Source organism: Homo sapiens, chromosome 17, assembly GCF_000001405.40.
Source record: "Homo sapiens chromosome 17, GRCh38.p14 Primary Assembly".
Lineage (NCBI taxonomy): Eukaryota > Metazoa > Chordata > Mammalia > Primates > Hominidae > Homo > Homo sapiens.
This window is the reverse complement of record NC_000017.11, coordinates 29,368,501-29,385,281: the sequence shown is the minus strand read 5'-3', so window position 1 is coordinate 29,385,281 and position 16,781 is coordinate 29,368,501. Positions and strand designations below refer to the sequence as shown.

Here is a 16,781-nt window from a genome sequence, read left to right as displayed (position 1 = left end):
GTTGGCCAGGCTGGTAACGAACTCCTGGCCTCTAGTGATCTGCCCACCTTGGCTTCCCAAACTGTTAGGATTACAGGCATGAGCCACTGCACCTGGCCAAAGGAAGCATTTGATTAAAACAGATATTAGAAATTTTCCTGATTCATTTCCTGTGTGTAGACAGTATCCATGACAGCATTCAGTGTTGAGGTGTATTAAAACTAGGTGGCAGCAGTGGGAAGCACCCAAGTTCACCAGCTGTATCCCCTGACCCAGTATGGACACTCAACTTTATAACAAAACCCAATCTATAAAGAAAAATACCCAGGGATTGGGAGCTGGGTGTGGTGTGTGGAGAGACAGAAAAAAGGGAGACAGAGTCAAACACTTAACAAAACTTTTTAAGCTCCTGTGGCACTGATTTTTCAGTTACAGGGCCTAATATATTTCTTTTTTCCCACCCTTAAGCTGATTTGGGCCGGGCACAGTGGCTCACGCCTGTAATCCCAGCACTTTGGGATGCCGAGGCGGGCGGATCACGAGGTCAAGAGATCGAGATCAGCCTGGCCAACATAGTGAAACCCCGTCTCTACTAAAAATACAAAAATTAAGCCAGGCATGGTGGCGCACACCTGTAGTCCCAACTACTTGGGAGGCTGAGGCAGGAGAATTGCTTGAACCCGAGAGGCGGAGGTTGCAGTGAGCCAAGATCACGCCACTGCACTCCAGCCTGGCGACAGAGTAAGACTCCGTCTCAAAAAAAAAAAAAAAAAAAGCTGATTTGAATTGTCACCTTCAACCACAAGACTTCTTTTTTTGTTTGTTTGTTTTTTTAAGACAGAGTCTTGCTCTGTCACTCAGGCTGAAGTACAGTGGTGATCATAGCTCACTGCAGCCTCGAACTCCTGAGCTCAAGGGATCCTCCACCTTCAGCCTCCCAAGTAGCTGGGACTTACAAGCACACACAACCATGCCCAGATAATTTTTTATTTTATTTTTTGTAGAGACAGGGTCTAGCCATGTTGCCCAGGCTGGTCTCGAACTCTAGCCTCAAGTGATCCTCCTGCCTTGGCTTACCAAAGTCATGGGATTACATGCATGAATCAGTGCACCTGGCCCCAAAAGACTTCCTACTAGTATATTACTCCTATTTAGTAAAGAGAAGTCCAAAGAGGAAGCCTAAAGAAAATCCCAAGCCAATAAAATATTAACTTATTTTATGTTTTGATTGCCAGCTGTTTGTGTTTCATATGATGTGTGGCAGAAATCTGGTAGGAATTCATGTAGATTTTTTTAAATCCTGGCAGATGTCAGCCATAGCAAAGGGCATAATAAAATCACCAACTCGTCCTGAAGATACATTCCAAAAACCTCTCAGTCCACAAACATGCTGCCCAACCCTTCCTATAGCCACAGATGTCCCAGACAATCAACCATGATGCACTGATCATGGGATGCCTGCCAGAGGGTAGTGTCAGAGAAGTGGGATGAATATTTACCTCCTTGCACATACACAGTAATAGCTAACACTTTAAAACATTTTCCATGGACTAGGCATGGTGCTAAGCACCTTACATGTTACTTAATCTTACTTACTTAATCTTCACATGACCCTCTGAAGAAGGTAATATTAACCCCATTTTACAGATAAAGAAAAGAATCCTCAGCTTGGTTATGAGAATGACACAAAGTAAGGGCAGCTACCGACATTAGTAAGTGATGGAAGTGGAACTCCAAAGTCAATGTCTTTTTTTTTTTTTGAGACAGAGTCTCACTGTGTTGCCCAGGCTGGAGTGCAGTGGCACAATTTCAGCTCACTGCAACTTCTGCCTCCTGGGTTTAAGCAATTCTCGTACCTCAGCCTTCTGAGTAGCTGGAATTACAGGAGTGAGCCGCTATGCCCAACCCAAAGTCAATTTGTTTTTGTTTTTGAGACTGAGTCTCACTCGTCTCTAGGCTGGAGTGTGGTGGCGCTATCTCGGCTCACTGCAAGCTCCGCCTCCTGGGTTCACGCCATTCTCCTGCCTCAGCCTCCCGAGTAGCTGGGACTACAGGTGCCTGCCACCACACTCGACTAATTTTTTTTTTTTTTTTTTTTTTTGTATTTTTAGTAGAGACGGGGTTTTACCGTGTTAGCCAGGATGGTCTCGATCTCCTGACCTCGTGATCCGCCCACCTCGGCCTCCCAAAGTGCTGGGATTACAGGCTTGAGCCACCGCGCCCGGCCTAGGTCAGGACTTTCTTATATCAAGTTGTATTCTACCAACTGTTACGTACCTTGGCCCAGTATTTATCTATTCTTGTAGGTTAAAATAGAAGAATATGCTGCCTCCATGTGCAGGGCATTTTAAAAGGATTGGCATTTTAAAAAGATTTTCACAAAATGGATCACATTATATGAGAATATGGAGCTCAAGAAGCAACTCCGTACATGATCAGCTTTATTTTCCAGCCTGTAAAACCACACTTCTATCAGGCATCCTTCTGTAGACATGTTTGAGTGAGATGGGCAACAGAGCAAGACTCTGTCTCAAAAAAAAAAAAAAAAAAAAAAAAGGCTGAGCTTGGTGGCTTACGCCTGTAATCCCAGCAGTTTGGGAGGCCGAGGCAAGCGGATTGCCTGAGCTCAGGAGTTTGAGACCAGGCTGGGCAACACAGTGAAAACACGTCTCTACTAAAATACAAAAAAATTAGCTGGGCGTGGCAATGTGCGACTAGTCCCAGCTACTCAGGAGGCTGAGGCAGGAGAATTGCTTGAACACGGGAGGCAGAGGTTGCAGTGAGCTGAGATCGTGCCACTGCACTCCAGCCTGGGTGACCGTGCGAGACTCTGTTTCCAAAAATAAAAAATAAAAATAGAGACAGGGTCTTGCTTTATTGGCCAGGTTGGTCTCAAACTCTTGGCCTCAAGCAGGCCTCACACGTCCGCCTCCCAAAGTGCTAGGATTATAAGTGTGAGCCCCTGCACCAAACCTGCTTTTTGTTTGTTTGTTTTAAAAGCTCACAGCCAGCCACAGTGGCCCACAGCACTCCAACCTGGGTGTCAGAGTGAGACTCTGTCTTGAAAATAAAAAAATAAAAATTAACTCTAAGGATCAGAAAAGGAAGCTATCTGCTTCAATGGGATGTGTATATGATTTGTTCTCAATACTACCTCTTGTAGTAAGGGTCCTTGCTCTTTGAGTTGGTCATTCCTCTCTTCACCTATGTTGTCAACCACTCTCAAATGGCAACTCCCCCTCAGCATTAAAAACATGCCCTAGTTTCTTCTTCTTTGGGGAGAAAAGAAAGATTACTTTCATCTCTCCTGTCTATAGCCAAGCTTCTTGGAATTCCAAATTATCTATCTTCCCACCCCCCTCTACTAATATTGATCTTGCCAAGGTCAAGACTGACTTCCTGGTTGCAATGTCTAGTGAAGTCATTTAATAGTTTTATTCCTGTCATCTGCAATATTTGACGTCATTGACAGTCCTTCCATCTTGAAACTGTGTTCCTCCTTGGCTTTTTCAACACCACTCAAAACCAGATTTCCTTCCACCTTCCTGTCCTGGCAGGGTCCTCTTCCTTCACCTACCCCTTAAAAGATGCCCCTCCAATCCTCATCTATTTTCCTGAAATTGTTATAGCAAGAATGTTCTCTTCTAGTTATTTCATACATTTGGGAGTGGAAAGAGATTCAGGCTTTCCCTAGTATTTTTTAAATTTTTTATGGAAAATTTCAAACATTCAAAAGGAGTGCAATAAATAATAAACTTCCAGGTGTTCATCACCTAGCTTCAACTAGTATAAACACTTTATCATTATCTTTTACCTCTTCTCCCATAAACCTTTATTCTCCCTGCTGGAGTTTGTTATTTTTTTAATTTATTTTAGAGACAGGGTCTCGCTCTATCATCGAGGCTGGAGTGCAGTGGCACAGTCATAGCTCACTGCAGCCTCAAATTCCTGCGCTCAGACAATCCTCCCCATCAGCCCCCCAAGTAGCTAAGACTACAGGTGTGTGCCACCATGCTCAGCTAATTTTTAAAATTTTTTTGTAGAGATAGGGGTCTCACTATGTGTCCCTGGCTGCTCTTGAACTCCTGAACTCAAGCAGTCTTCCTGTCTTGTCCTCCCAAAGTGCTGGCATTACAGACATGAGCCATCACACCCACTCAACACCCCCTGGAGTATTTTTATTTATTTATTTTTTTGAGACAGAGTCTCACTTTGTCACCCAGGCTGGAGTGCAGTGGCACAATCTCGGCTCATTGCAACCTCTGCCTCCCAGGTTCAAGCGATTTTCCTGCTTCGGCCTCCTGAGTAGCTGGGATTATAGGCCTGTGCCACCACGCCAGCTAATTTTTTTGTGTTTTTAGTAGAGCATGCTCAGCTAATTTTTTTGTATTTTTTGTAGAGACAGGGTTTCACCATCTTGGCCAGGCTGGTCTCGAACTCCTGACCTCGTGATCCACCCGCCTCGGCCTCCCAAATGCTGGGATTACAGGTATGAGCCACCTCACCGAGGCCCCTGGAGTATTTTTAAATAAACCTCTTATAAATCATCATAACATTTCACCTGTATATACTTCAGTATGTATCTGTAACAAAGACCTTTATTGTAGCATAACCACAATATCATTATCACACCTTTACAAAATTAAAAAAATTGTTTTCTTTGTTTTTTTGTTTTTTTTTTTGAGATGGAGTTTCATTCTTGTCACCTAGGCTGGAGTGCAATGGCGCGATCTTGGCTCACTGCAACCTCCGCCTCCCAGTTTCAAGCTATTCTCTTGCCTCAGCCTCCCGAGTAGCTGGGATTACAGGTGGGCGCCATTGTGCCTGGCTAATTTTTGTATTTTTTTAGTAGAGACAGGGTTTCGCCATGTTGGCCAGGTTGGTCTTGAACTCCTGACCTCAGGTGATCTGCCCACCTCGGCCTCCCAAAATGCTAGGCATGAGCCACTGTGGCCGGCCCCCGTCTCTATTTTTTTTTTTTTTTTTGAGACAGTCTTGCTCTGTTGCCAGGCTGAAGTGCAGTGGCATGATCTCAGCTCACTGCAACCTCTGCCACCCGTGTTCAAGTGATTCCCCTGCCTCAGCCTCCTGAGTAGCTGGGACTACAGGTGCGTGCCACCACGCCTGGCTAATTTTTTGTATTTTAGTAGAGATGGGGTTTCACCCTGTTGGCCAGGATTAGTCTCGCTCTCCTGACCTCGTGATCCATCTATTTTTAAAAAGAAAGAAAAAGCAACTGTACTAATTTTTACTATTATTTCCTCTCCTTTTGAAAGGCTATGTTAAATTCCCATACTGCCATGCCACTTCTGGCTTTGATGACTTTCACTCCATTATTACACCATAGGGGCAACCCTTATTGCTCAGGACACACATGAACACAGAGATTTTCCCCATCACTGCTAAGAGACCCAACAGTCTGCTTTGGAATTAGATAATGCATTGAGAAAGCTAGCATTTCTCTCAGATCAGACTCTTTGAATGATAGGAGGAACATAAGATTGAGAAACTTTCGTTCCCTGGAAGAGAACACGCCAGTTGTGAAAAGCCCAAAGTTGTAAATTGTCAGATGGTGACTGCCTGGGAAACCTATCAAGATTCCTAACAGCTCAGCTGAGAACCTAATTACCAGTTACAAAGAGAGACAGGAAAAACGTGTTGTCAGAGTGCGCCTGGTCAGAGAGAATGAAGTATGATGTCCCAGCCTCATCACCAGCCTCCTTCTTGTTTCGACTAGAACAAAACACATTAGTATAATTGACATTACACATGTTTATTATCCGGAACAAAGGAACCATGTCAAACCATAACTCTGTGTCAGCTGAATCTTTGGTAATCACATAAACTAAACAATGGCATTTGACCTGATTGTGCAAAAACACTTCCGGGATTCTCAGTGCCAAGGATAATACCATCCTGTACTTAACTTTTCACCTGGAGTTTACACAAACTTCAACGAATCCTCTTAATTTCCTGGAGTGAAGAGGAGCAGTAATCTTTTGTTCTAGTGAAGCCCAGAGAGGGATAAGAACTTACCTAAAGCCACACAATCAGCAAACCAGCATCGTATTTTCTTTTCTTTTTTTTTTTGAGATGGAGTCTCTCACTCTGTCGCCCAGGCTGGAGTGCAATGGCACGATCTCAGCTCACCGCAACCTCTGCCTCCCAGGTTCAAGCAATTCTTCTGTCTCAGCCTCATGAGTAGCTGGGATTACAGGTGCCTGCCACCACACCCGGCTAATTTTTCTTTCTTTTCTTTCTTTCTTTCTTTTTTTTTTTTTTTTTTTTGTATTTTTGTAGAGACAGGGTTTCGCTGTGTTGCCCAGGCTGGTCCAGAATTCCTGAGCTCAGGCAATCCATCTGCCTCGGCCTTCCAAAGTGCTAGGATTACAGGTGTGAGCCACCGTGCCCGGCCTCAGCATCTTATTTTCTAAGGAAAATAAATTAGTATCAACCATGCTGCAGCACCAACATGAGGAAACCAGCACTCTTCACCAAGAATCCCTATATTGGGGAAAACCAACGTTAGTGTATTCACATGCTAGTTTTTACAAAGACTTCTAGTCTTGCAAAACTCACCCACACTTCCCACTCTCTTACCTCACTGGTATCAGCAGCAATTGAGCGTGAATGCTAACTTTCTCAGTGGGAGATTTTTTTTTTCAGTTGTTGAAAACAGGGACCTGGCACTTACAGCAACAGGGGGATAGAGAGAGAATTAATATTTATTGGGGACCTATTATATTCCAGATAGTATGTTTTACCTCTATCTAATCTGTAAGCCAGCTGGCAAAGTAGATGCTACTATAGATATCATCAGATGCCATACCTGGAGTTCATAGAGTTTAAGTAAATTGGCCAAGCTCACATCTTTAGTAAATGGCAGAGCAGAATTTTTAGCTTTTTATTTATTTGTTTATGTACTTTTTTTTTTTTTGAGACGGAGTCTCACTCTGACGCCCAGGCTGGAGTGCAGTGGCGCAATCTCGGCTCACTGTAAGCTCCGCCTCGCGGGTTCATGCCATTCTCCTGCCTCAGCCTCCCGGGTAGCTGGGACTACAGGCGCCCGACACCACGCCCGGCTAATTTTGTTTTTGTATTTTTAGTAGAGACGGGGTTTCACCGTGTTATCCAGGATGGTCTCCATCTCCTGACCTCGTGATCTGCCCGCCTCAGCCTCCCAAAGTGCTGGGATTGCAGTCGTGAGCCACCGCGCCCGGCCTGTTTATGTATCTTTTAGAACAGGGTTCGGAGTCTCACTCTGTCACCCAGGCTAGAGTGTGATGGCACTATTTTGGCTCATTGCAACCTCCGCCTCGTGGGCTCAAGCGATTCTCGAGCCTCATTCTCCTGAGTAGCTGGGATTACAGGCGTGTACCACCACGCCCAGTTAATTTTTTGTATTTTTAGTAAAGATGGGGTTTCGCTGTGTTGGCCAGGCTGGTCTCAAACTCCTGTCCTCAAGTGATCCACCCACCTCGGCCTTCAAAGTGCTGGGATTACAGGTGTGAGCCACCGTCCTGACCTAAAGTCTGTGTTCTTTATAATGCACAGTGCTACCTCAGTAGAAGAGAAGGAACTATGGGGACCTCCCAAGAGATAAGGTTGATGAAATGAGCGACTCTGAACTCCCAGTACTTTTGTTTTTATTTATTTATTTATTTTTTGAGACGGAGTCTCGCTCTGTCGCCCAAGCTAGGGTGCAGTGGCGCGATCTCGGCTCACTGCAAGCTCCGCCTCCCGGGTTCACGCCATTCTCCTGCCTCAGCCCCCCAAGTAGCTGGGACTACACGGGCGCCCGCCACCACGCCCGGATAATTTTTTGTATTTTTAGTAGAGATGGGGTTTCACCGTGTTAGCCAGCATGGTCTCGATCTCCTGACATCCTGATCCGCCCACCTCGGCCTCCCAAAGTGCTGGGATTACAGGCGTGAGCCACCGCGCCCAGCCAAGAACTCCTAGTATTTTTGATTGTCCTATACACATAAGGATTAGAATTGCCTGGCACAAATAGAAGGCATTTGGGCAAAATACTCCATCAGATTAATAGATACTACAGAGAAAAGGAAACTGGGTTGGAGAATGGGAGATTGGAAGGGAAATGAAGTGGATGAAGAGAAAGAAGGATCAGGAAGGGAATATGCCTAGGAAATTTAGTGAGTAGCTTGGGGTTGTTACCAGAGACCTTCCACTAGGACCCACAGAACAGTGCAGAAGCCGATACTCTTTTTTTTTTTCCTCTCTCTCTACTCACCATTTATTTTGTCTTCTGTAAAAGGATTAGCAGGATGGGCTCAGTGGGAAAGGAGGCCCCTGTGGGATCCTGTTACCAGCCATCTGTGTTCTGTTCTTTACTTTTGAACAAGACGGCTCCAAAACTCTGAACTGGAGAGGGAGTTGGAGCTGCATACAGATCAGCAGAGCTGTTGCTAACAGCTCTGACGCCTGCAGAATGACTCAACCCTCTGTGCCTGGCAGAGTCAGCTGTGGTCCCCTGGAGCCTCCTACTCTAGGGAGAAAATCAGAGATGTGGGGAAGTGGCTTGGGGAAAGGGAAGGAGGACCCTTGATCTTGGGCAGGAATTCAGGCTGGAAGGATAGATTGGGACACTTGAGTCTTCATTTAAGAGTTCCAGCTAATGATGGGGGAGGGATTAAAGATGACAGTGAGGAAAGCACAATCTTCTGTATACTTTAGCTTCTCCCCAAAAAGAGTATACTGTCTGGAGGATGGCAGTCAGTAAAAGCCATATGGCTGTGTCACCAGGAATTCATCCCAAACAGAAATCTCACTCACCTCCCTGGTGAATTTTATTCAGGTACAGGCAGCTCCTGCTGTTCCCTCACTTTCTGAGGAGCCCAAAGACTCTTTTTGTCCCTACAGGGCACCATTAATACTTAACATTTTCAGTGCTGAACAGTTGCTAGCTTCAGACCTCTCCTCTGGTCACTTACTCAGATCTCTCTTAGACGTAGGCAATTAGGAAGAAGAAACCATGCTGGAAAGCTCCTAGGTAAGCCTTCCTGTTTGTTCTGGTCTTTGTTGCTTGTGTATGGGTCATGCCAAGAGTTGTCTGGATTAACCCTATATCAATACTTAAACACCCAGCTCCACCCCGCTCCCCAAACAACCCCAGCCTTCCCTCAAAGAACTTTCCTTTTTATTTGGCTCCTAATCATTCACTAATAGACAGCCCCCCAACTTTGTCTTTTGGGTGCCATGGCAACTCAAAGAAACGGTTGACACTGCCAATAAAGGCATCTGCAAGAGCTCCCTAAAGCCAGACTCCTTTAAAAACAATAATACACTAGGGAATCACCACTATATCCACCCTTCCTACCACCCCACATACACACCCTCAATTGTTGGCTTTAGGGAGAGACTCACAGTTCTTGGAATAGCTGAGAAAGTAGCTGCTTTGCCCCATATGAAAGGTTTTCATACTCTAATACAATTCTTCCCTTAGACATTAGCCTATAAATCAAACCTACCTACCAGGTGTCCATGGAATTTTTTACAAAATAAGTCTGCATGTGCCCTTTACTGATTTTCATTTTTCTGTGCCTATAGGAAGAATCTGAGTATATGGTATTTCAGGGATGAACTTCTGGCTAGTTTCCCACAATGAGGAGACTCTTGATGGCCTCATATAATATGTGTGAAAGTGCTTTTAGATAAGTGCTCAAATATTCATATTAACTAGTATTCCCTGTCCTCGTTCCCCTTTAGTTCAGGCTATATAGTATAGTAGTTAAGCTCTGGGACTCTGGAGCCAAATTTCCTGGATTGAATCTTCTACTTTGCAACTTTTCGTAAGCCTTTCTCTGTCCCTCACCTTTCCCCATCTGTAAAATGAGGAAAATACGAGTATCTACTTCAGAGGATTTTGGGGAAGATTAAATAAATTCAAATCTATAAAGTGCTTAGAACAGTAGCTGGTTTTATATGCTGAACATCTTTTGTATATCAAGTTTACTACTAGACACAGTATGCTGCTGGGAAACACAGACAATGTAACCTGTCCTCAAAGAGTTAACAGCCTGATATTCTCTGGGTAAAGAGAGACAAACCAATATGTAGGTAATGTGACAAGTGCTTCTCTAAATGAAGAGAGAAAACAGAGGAGAGAGCCAGAAATTTACCCTTAGAGGATGGCTGGGTTTTCCCAAAACAGAGAAATGGTATATCATTTAGGAACTCTGGGTTGCAAATAATAACTTGCTTCATTTCGTTCAACAATTTTATTTTAAAGATCTATGTCACAGAAACTCAGGAAAACTAAGAGCCCAGTAGAGCAAGAGATGGCATTTTTATTGTTTTCACTCTGATGTTCACTCATTAGCATGACTTAGCTATTTTCCTCCTGGCAGGGCCTCTTCCACCAGTACTGATTGATTCTTTATTCTTCCTTTCAGATGAATGTTCTCTACCTCATAGTTTCTACTTCCTTGTAGGTTTCCTTGATTCCTCATGGCTCTGAATTTATCTTAATATTAATAGCTTTTCTTTAGGTATCATTTCAGCTTGTGTTCTTATCATTCGAAGCTGCATCCTCGGGCTGGGTTCGGTGGCTCATGCCTGTAATCCCAGCACTTTGGGAGGCCGAGGTGGGTGAATCACTTAAGGTCAGGAGTTCGTAGACCAGCCTGGCAAACATGGTGAAACCCCATTTCTACTAAAAATACAAAAATTAGCTGGGCGTGGTAGCAGGTGCCTGTAATCCCAGCTACATGGGAGGCTGAGGCAGGAGAATTGCTTGAACCTGGGAGGCAGAGGAGGTTGTAGTGAGCCAAGATTGTGCCACTGCACTCCAGCTTGAGTGATGGAGTGAGACACTGTTTGAAAAAAAAAGAAAGAAAAAGAAAAAAAAGGCTCATTCTCTCCTTTTGCTAACTCAAAATTTAAACATTAAGAGAGGCTGGGTGCAGTGGCTCATGCCTGTAATCCCAGCACTTTGGGAGGCCAAAGCCGGGGGATTGCCTGAGCTCAGGGCTTTGAGACCAGCCTAGCTAACATGGTGAAACCCCATCTCTACTAAAAATGCAAAAATTAGCTGGGTGTGGTGGCAGGTGCCTGTAATCCCATCTACTTGGGAGGCTGAGGCAGGAGAATTGCTTGAACCCAGGAGGCAAAGGTTGCAGTGAGCCGAGATCGTGCCATTGCACTCCAGCCTGGGTGACAAGAGCGAAACGCTGTCTCAAAATAAATAAATAAATAAATAGGCCAGACGCGGTGGCTCACACCTGTAATCCTAGCACTTTGGGAGGCTGAGGGGGGTGAATCACGAGGTCAGTAGTTCGAGATCAGCCTGACCACCATAGTGAAACCCTGTCTCTACTAAAACTACAAAAATTAGCCAGGCATGGTGGCACGCACCTGTAATCCCAGCTATTCAGGAGGCTGAGGCAGGAGACTCGCTTGAACTTGGGAGGCAGAGGTTGCAGTGAGCCGAGATTGCGTCACTGCACTCCAGCCTGGGTGTCAGAGCAAGACTCCGTCTCAAAAAAAATAAAATAAAATAAAAATAAAATAAATAAAGAGAATCTGGGCCAGGCGCAGTGGCTCACATCTGTAATCCCAGCACTTTGGGAGGCCAAGGTGGGGAGGATCCCTTGAGCCCAGGGGTTCGAGACCAAGCTGGGCAAAACCGTGAGACCCCATTTCACATATTTTTAAAAAATAATAAGTTTTTAAAAAGAGAGACAGTGTCTGATCAACCTACTCCTTTTTAATTGCCAGATATGTTGGAAATTGCTAGCCAGGTCCTGGATTATCCACCATTGCGTCAGATGCCAATTCTGGTCCAGTCAGCTAAGGCAAAAGGGACATAACTATGGCTACCTAGAGGCTGTCTCTTCAACAGAGGCTGTGGGTGGGAAAGTTTCCCTTGGGAAGGAAATGTGGATGTAGCAGTCATGATGTTCTGTCTAGAAAAGAAATAAGAAACAACATGTACAAAGAGCATGGGAAAGAGAAATGCAGTGTCTGGAGTTGATTCAACAGATATTTACTGAAGGATTGCTAAATGTCAGTCACTATGTAAGGAATAGATAACAAATGCTTTGAGGAGTGTTAGGATGCCATGGGAGCCCATTGCAGGGCCATCCGAACAAGACATGGGATGTCAAGAAAGGCTTCTTAGAGGAAGGAAACTCCACATGGGACCAGATAGAGAAGTAGGAATAAAAAGGAGCATGGCAGGCTGGGTGCGGTGGCTCACGCCTATAATCCCAGCACTTTGGGAGGCCAAGGTGGGCGGATCACCTGAGGTCAGGAGTTTGAGACCAGCCTGGCCAACATAGTGAAACCCCTTCTCTACTAAAAATACAAAAAGTTAGCTGGGGGCGCGGTGGCTCACACCTGTAATCCCAGCACTTTGGGAGGCCGAGGCAGGTGGATCACGAGGGGAGGAGTTCGAGACCAGCCTAACCAACATGTTGAAACCCCGTTTCTACTAAAAATACAAAAATTAGCTGGGCGTGGTGGCACGTGCTGAGTAGCTGAGTAATCCCAGCTACTCAGGAGGCTGAGGCAGGAGAATTGCTTGAACCTGGGAGGCAGAGGTGGCAGTGAGCCGAGATCACACCACTGCACTTTAGCCTGAGTGACAGAGGGAGACTCCGTCTCAAAAAACAAAACAAAACAAAACAAAACAAAACAAAACAAAAAATTAGGTGGGCTTGCTGGCACATGCTTGTAATCCCAGCTACTCAGGAGGCTGAGGCAGGAGAATTGCTTGAACCCAGGAGGCAGAAGTTGCAGTAAGCTGAGATCGCGCCATTGCACCCCAGCCTGGGCAACAAGAGTGAAACTCCATCTCAAAAAAAAAAAAAAAAATTAGCTGGGCGTGGTAGCGGGCTACTGTAATCCCAGCTACTTGGGAGGCTGAGACAGGAGAATCGCTTGAACCTGGGAGATGGAAGTTGCAGTAAGCCAAGATCGCGCCATTGCCATTGCACTCCAGCCTGGACCAAAAAAAAAAAAAAAAAAAAGAGCATGGGATTCCAGGATCTGAAAGAAACTTAATGAGACTGCCAGAAAATGAGGGGGAATAGCAAGAGATATACAGGGACTATGTCATTCAGGTGCTAAAAACTGTAGTTACCATTTACTGAACACAGAACGGAACACTGTGCTCATTATTTTGTATGTATTAGTTTATTTAACCTTCTCAACAATTCTATGAGGTAGGAATAATTATTGTTCATATATATATATTTTGAGATGAAGTCTTGCTCTGTCGCCCAGGCTGAAGTGCAATGGCACAATCTCGGCTCACTGTAACCTCCACCTCCTGGGTTCAAGTGATTCTTCTGCTTCAGCCTCCCCAGTAGCTGGGAATACAGACATGTGCCACCATGCCCAGCCGATTTTTTTTTTCTTTTTTTGTATTTTTAGTACAGACAGGGTTTCACCCTGTTGCCCAGGCTGGTCTCAAATTCCTGAGCTCAGGTGATCCACCTGCCTCAGCCTCACAAAGTGCTAGGATTACAGGCGCCAGCCACCGTGCCGGTCCTCTTTTTTTTTTTTTTTTTGAGATGTAGTCTCGCTCTGTCACCCAGGCTGGAGTGCAGTGGCACAATCTCGGCTCACTGCAACCTCTATCTCCCAAGTTCAAGTGATTCTCCTGCCTCAGCCTCCCTAGTAGCTGGGATTACAGGCACCTGTCACCACGCCCAGCTAATTTTCTGTATTTTTACTAGAGATGGGGTTTCACCATGTTGGCCAGGCTGGTCTCCAACTCCTGACCTCAAATGATCTGCCTGCCTCGGCCTCCCAAAGTGGGATTACAGGTGTGAGCCACTGTGCCCGGCCTATTGTTTACATTTTTAAGATGAGGAAACCAAAACTCAGTGAGATTTACTAATTTACTAATAATCACATAACTAGCAAGTGGCCAAACTGCTAATAAATGAAATTATATTTACTTTGTGGGTCATATTCAGAATATAACGGTATTTATTTTAAGAGCAATGGGAAGCCATTGAAGGGTTTTAAAGCAAAATTGCATTTGGGAAAGATCATTCTTGCTGCAGAGTATAAAATGGATTGTAATGAGCAAAAGGAGACGTAGGGAGACCACTTGGGACCCCACTGCAGACCAGGTGAGAGATGGTATTAACTTGGACTAGGAGGACAACAGTGCTATGGATGTAATCATTCATTTATTATTTTGATCAATAAATATTGAATGAGCTCCCATGAAGAGTGCTAGGCAGTAAAGATACAAATTTGAGGCTGGGCACAGTGGCTCACACCTGTAATCCCAGCACTTTGGGAGGCCAAGGTGCATGGATCACGAGGTCAGGAGATTGAGACTATCGTGGCTAACATGGTGAAACCTCATCTCTACTAAAAATAAAAAAAATTAGCCGGGCGAGGTGACAGGCGCCTGTAGTCCCAGCTACTCGGAAGGCTGAGGCAGGAGAATGGCGTGAACCCGGGAGGCGGAGGTTACAGTGAGCCGAGATTGCACCACTGCACATTGCAGCCTGGGTGACAGAGCGAGACTCTGTCTCAAAAAAAAAAAAAAAGATACAAATTTGAGCAAAGTAGACATGGTCCCTGCCCTCAAAGAGTTTCTCTAAGAGATAGAATAGACAGGAATTAGTGGTGAGTTGCATGTGGTACTGATGGAAAATAAGTGGTCTGGGATGATTAACTGACTTCCAGTTGTCTCCGACACCTATGTTCCTTCTACCACACTACTTCCCCAAGGATTTGTATTGTAGATGAAGAGCAGGGGACTGAAGGGCAGAGTTATGAGGGAAGACCAAGGCGAATTTGGGAAGAGCTTGTATGCCATTCTCATCAACTCAGACTTTATTCTGGAAACTTTAGGGAGCCATTGAACATGTGTAAGCCAGGAAATAGCTTGGACAGATATATGTGTTAGCAAGATCAAGATTTCTTATCCTTTAACACTTAGAATTCCTACAGGGCTAACTAGGCAAGGATGAAAACATGCTAATCTTCTTTTCATATTCTACCCTCTAGTGGCAAGAGGAAAAACAGCAAGTCCAACTCCACAGGTTTGTAAGGAGCAGCCAGCTTTGATTTGCCCTGCACGTCATAGCTCAGAAAGTTTTGCTGCTCATACAATCCTCAGCAAAGACCATCCATTCATTCCGGGATTCCCCCAGCTCATGGACACAGGTCGGTCTCTAACTACAGACAGCCTTCTTCTGGAAACTCTCACCAGCCTGATTTCTAAACTCCCAGTCCACCTTCACATTGTTTGCCTGTTTTCAGTGCCTTTCCTCTGCAGATCTCTCAGTAGGCAGCCGTAAGGAGTCAGCAAAGGCTAACACGGCTGCCCTCAGCTGGAAACCTAGTGTAGTGCCTATTACATTTCTCCTGGAACCACTCCTTGTGAGAAAGGCAATTCAAACTCTATCTTAAGTGAGCATCTACTTCCTTTTCATCTGAGTTATAAAAGAATAGTGCCCCCTTTGGCTCAAATCTATGCAATGTGGAGGAAGAAAAGGCAAGAGCTAATCCTTGCCATGAATTCATCATTGTCATCGTCACCATTTCACCATTATCAGCAACAGACTCTAGAAACAACTTGGTGAAGGCTTGAAAATAGAGGGTAGAGCAGATATAGGGCAGCCTTCTCAAGGATATCTCCTCCTTTTTTTGAAAAGAGATGTTCTCTTTTTCTTGCATCTTTATTCTCAGTCCATTTGCCCTACAGCCTCTGTGCTTCCAAGATGAAGTTCTGATAAGTGTCTGCTGTGATAAGATAATAAGAGAGTCTATCTATGTAGCTTGGAAATAAACACTGGAATTGCTTCTCAAAAATCCAGATTGATTTAAACACCCTCTGGCAATGTTCTTTTGGCATCCTCCCCAATTTTAAATAACTTGGGTCACAGTTTCCTCCACTCATTGACTCAGCACTTCAGTGGCAAAGTGACCCTCTAAATTTCACCTCAGCTAAGATAGCTCCTCCACCTCCTAGAAGGATAATATTGTGAATTAAATGCTGATGCTGTTTCTGATTTAGCACATATGCACCACCCACAGACAATTTATTCTAGACTTTCTTTTAATGCCAGGGGCTTTAAGATTACTGATGAACAGATCCCTCCCCCATCCAAGCCCTCTATTCACCCAGGAATTTGCGATGGAAATAGTACTGTTGGCTGGAGTAGAGCGGCATACCAGTGCTTCTGAGAGCTGAGTGGCCGTTGCCATGGGGGCGAGTGTGTTTGTATAGAACTGCCTATACAAGGTGGCAGGATTGAGGGCTGCTTTTGATTCAGAGCTGATTAGAGTAGACCTGAGCCAGCCCCCTTATTTTACAGATGAGGAAACTGAGGCCCAAAGATTTAGTCAAATGACTTATTCAAGGTCTGAGGGCAAGGTAGAGACAGAGTTGGGCCTTTTGCAATGCATCACTCTTTCCAATAAAACACCCATTCTGGTTGAGTGGGTGCTCTTCCAGCCAGTTCCACTAATGCCACTATGTTATTACAGCACCATCAATCCAGGTGGAAGTGCCAGGAAACATGGTACAGGCAATAATGAGTATGTAAATATTCTTGCATTTGTATGCATGCATATGTTTGCATCAAATTACACGTGCACACCTGAGGGTGATTGTGCTAACTGGATGTTTTTATAGTTCTCTGATTACTGAAATTCCTTAAACCACCCTTTCCTCAAGTGAAATGCGAATAAGAAATAATACCTATCTCAAAGGATTAAATGAAATAATGAATTTAAAGTACTTAGCACAGTAGCTGGCATAATAAGTGTTTGATATTATATTGTTTCTATTATGTCTTTCTGCAATG

General features: G+C 44.7%; 3 annotated features.

Annotated features, from left to right (window-relative positions):
* Positions 14,998 to 15,257: an enhancer, noted in NCBI's record as "active region_11973". NCBI's record gives its function as "activates an Ori minimal core promoter by ATAC-STARR-seq in GM12878 lymphoblastoid cells {active_cell/tissue: GM12878}" and the evidence as "EXISTENCE:reporter gene assay evidence [ECO:0000049][PMID:35858748]".
* Positions 14,998 to 15,391: a biological region, named in NCBI's record as "Sharpr-MPRA regulatory region 6423".
* Positions 15,097 to 15,391: a silencer, noted in NCBI's record as "tiled region #6423; K562 Repressive non-DNase unmatched - State 12:CtcfO". NCBI's record gives its function as "represses a minimal TATA promoter and a strong SV40 promoter by Sharpr-MPRA in K562 cells {active_cell/tissue: K562}" and the evidence as "EXISTENCE:reporter gene assay evidence [ECO:0000049][PMID:27701403]".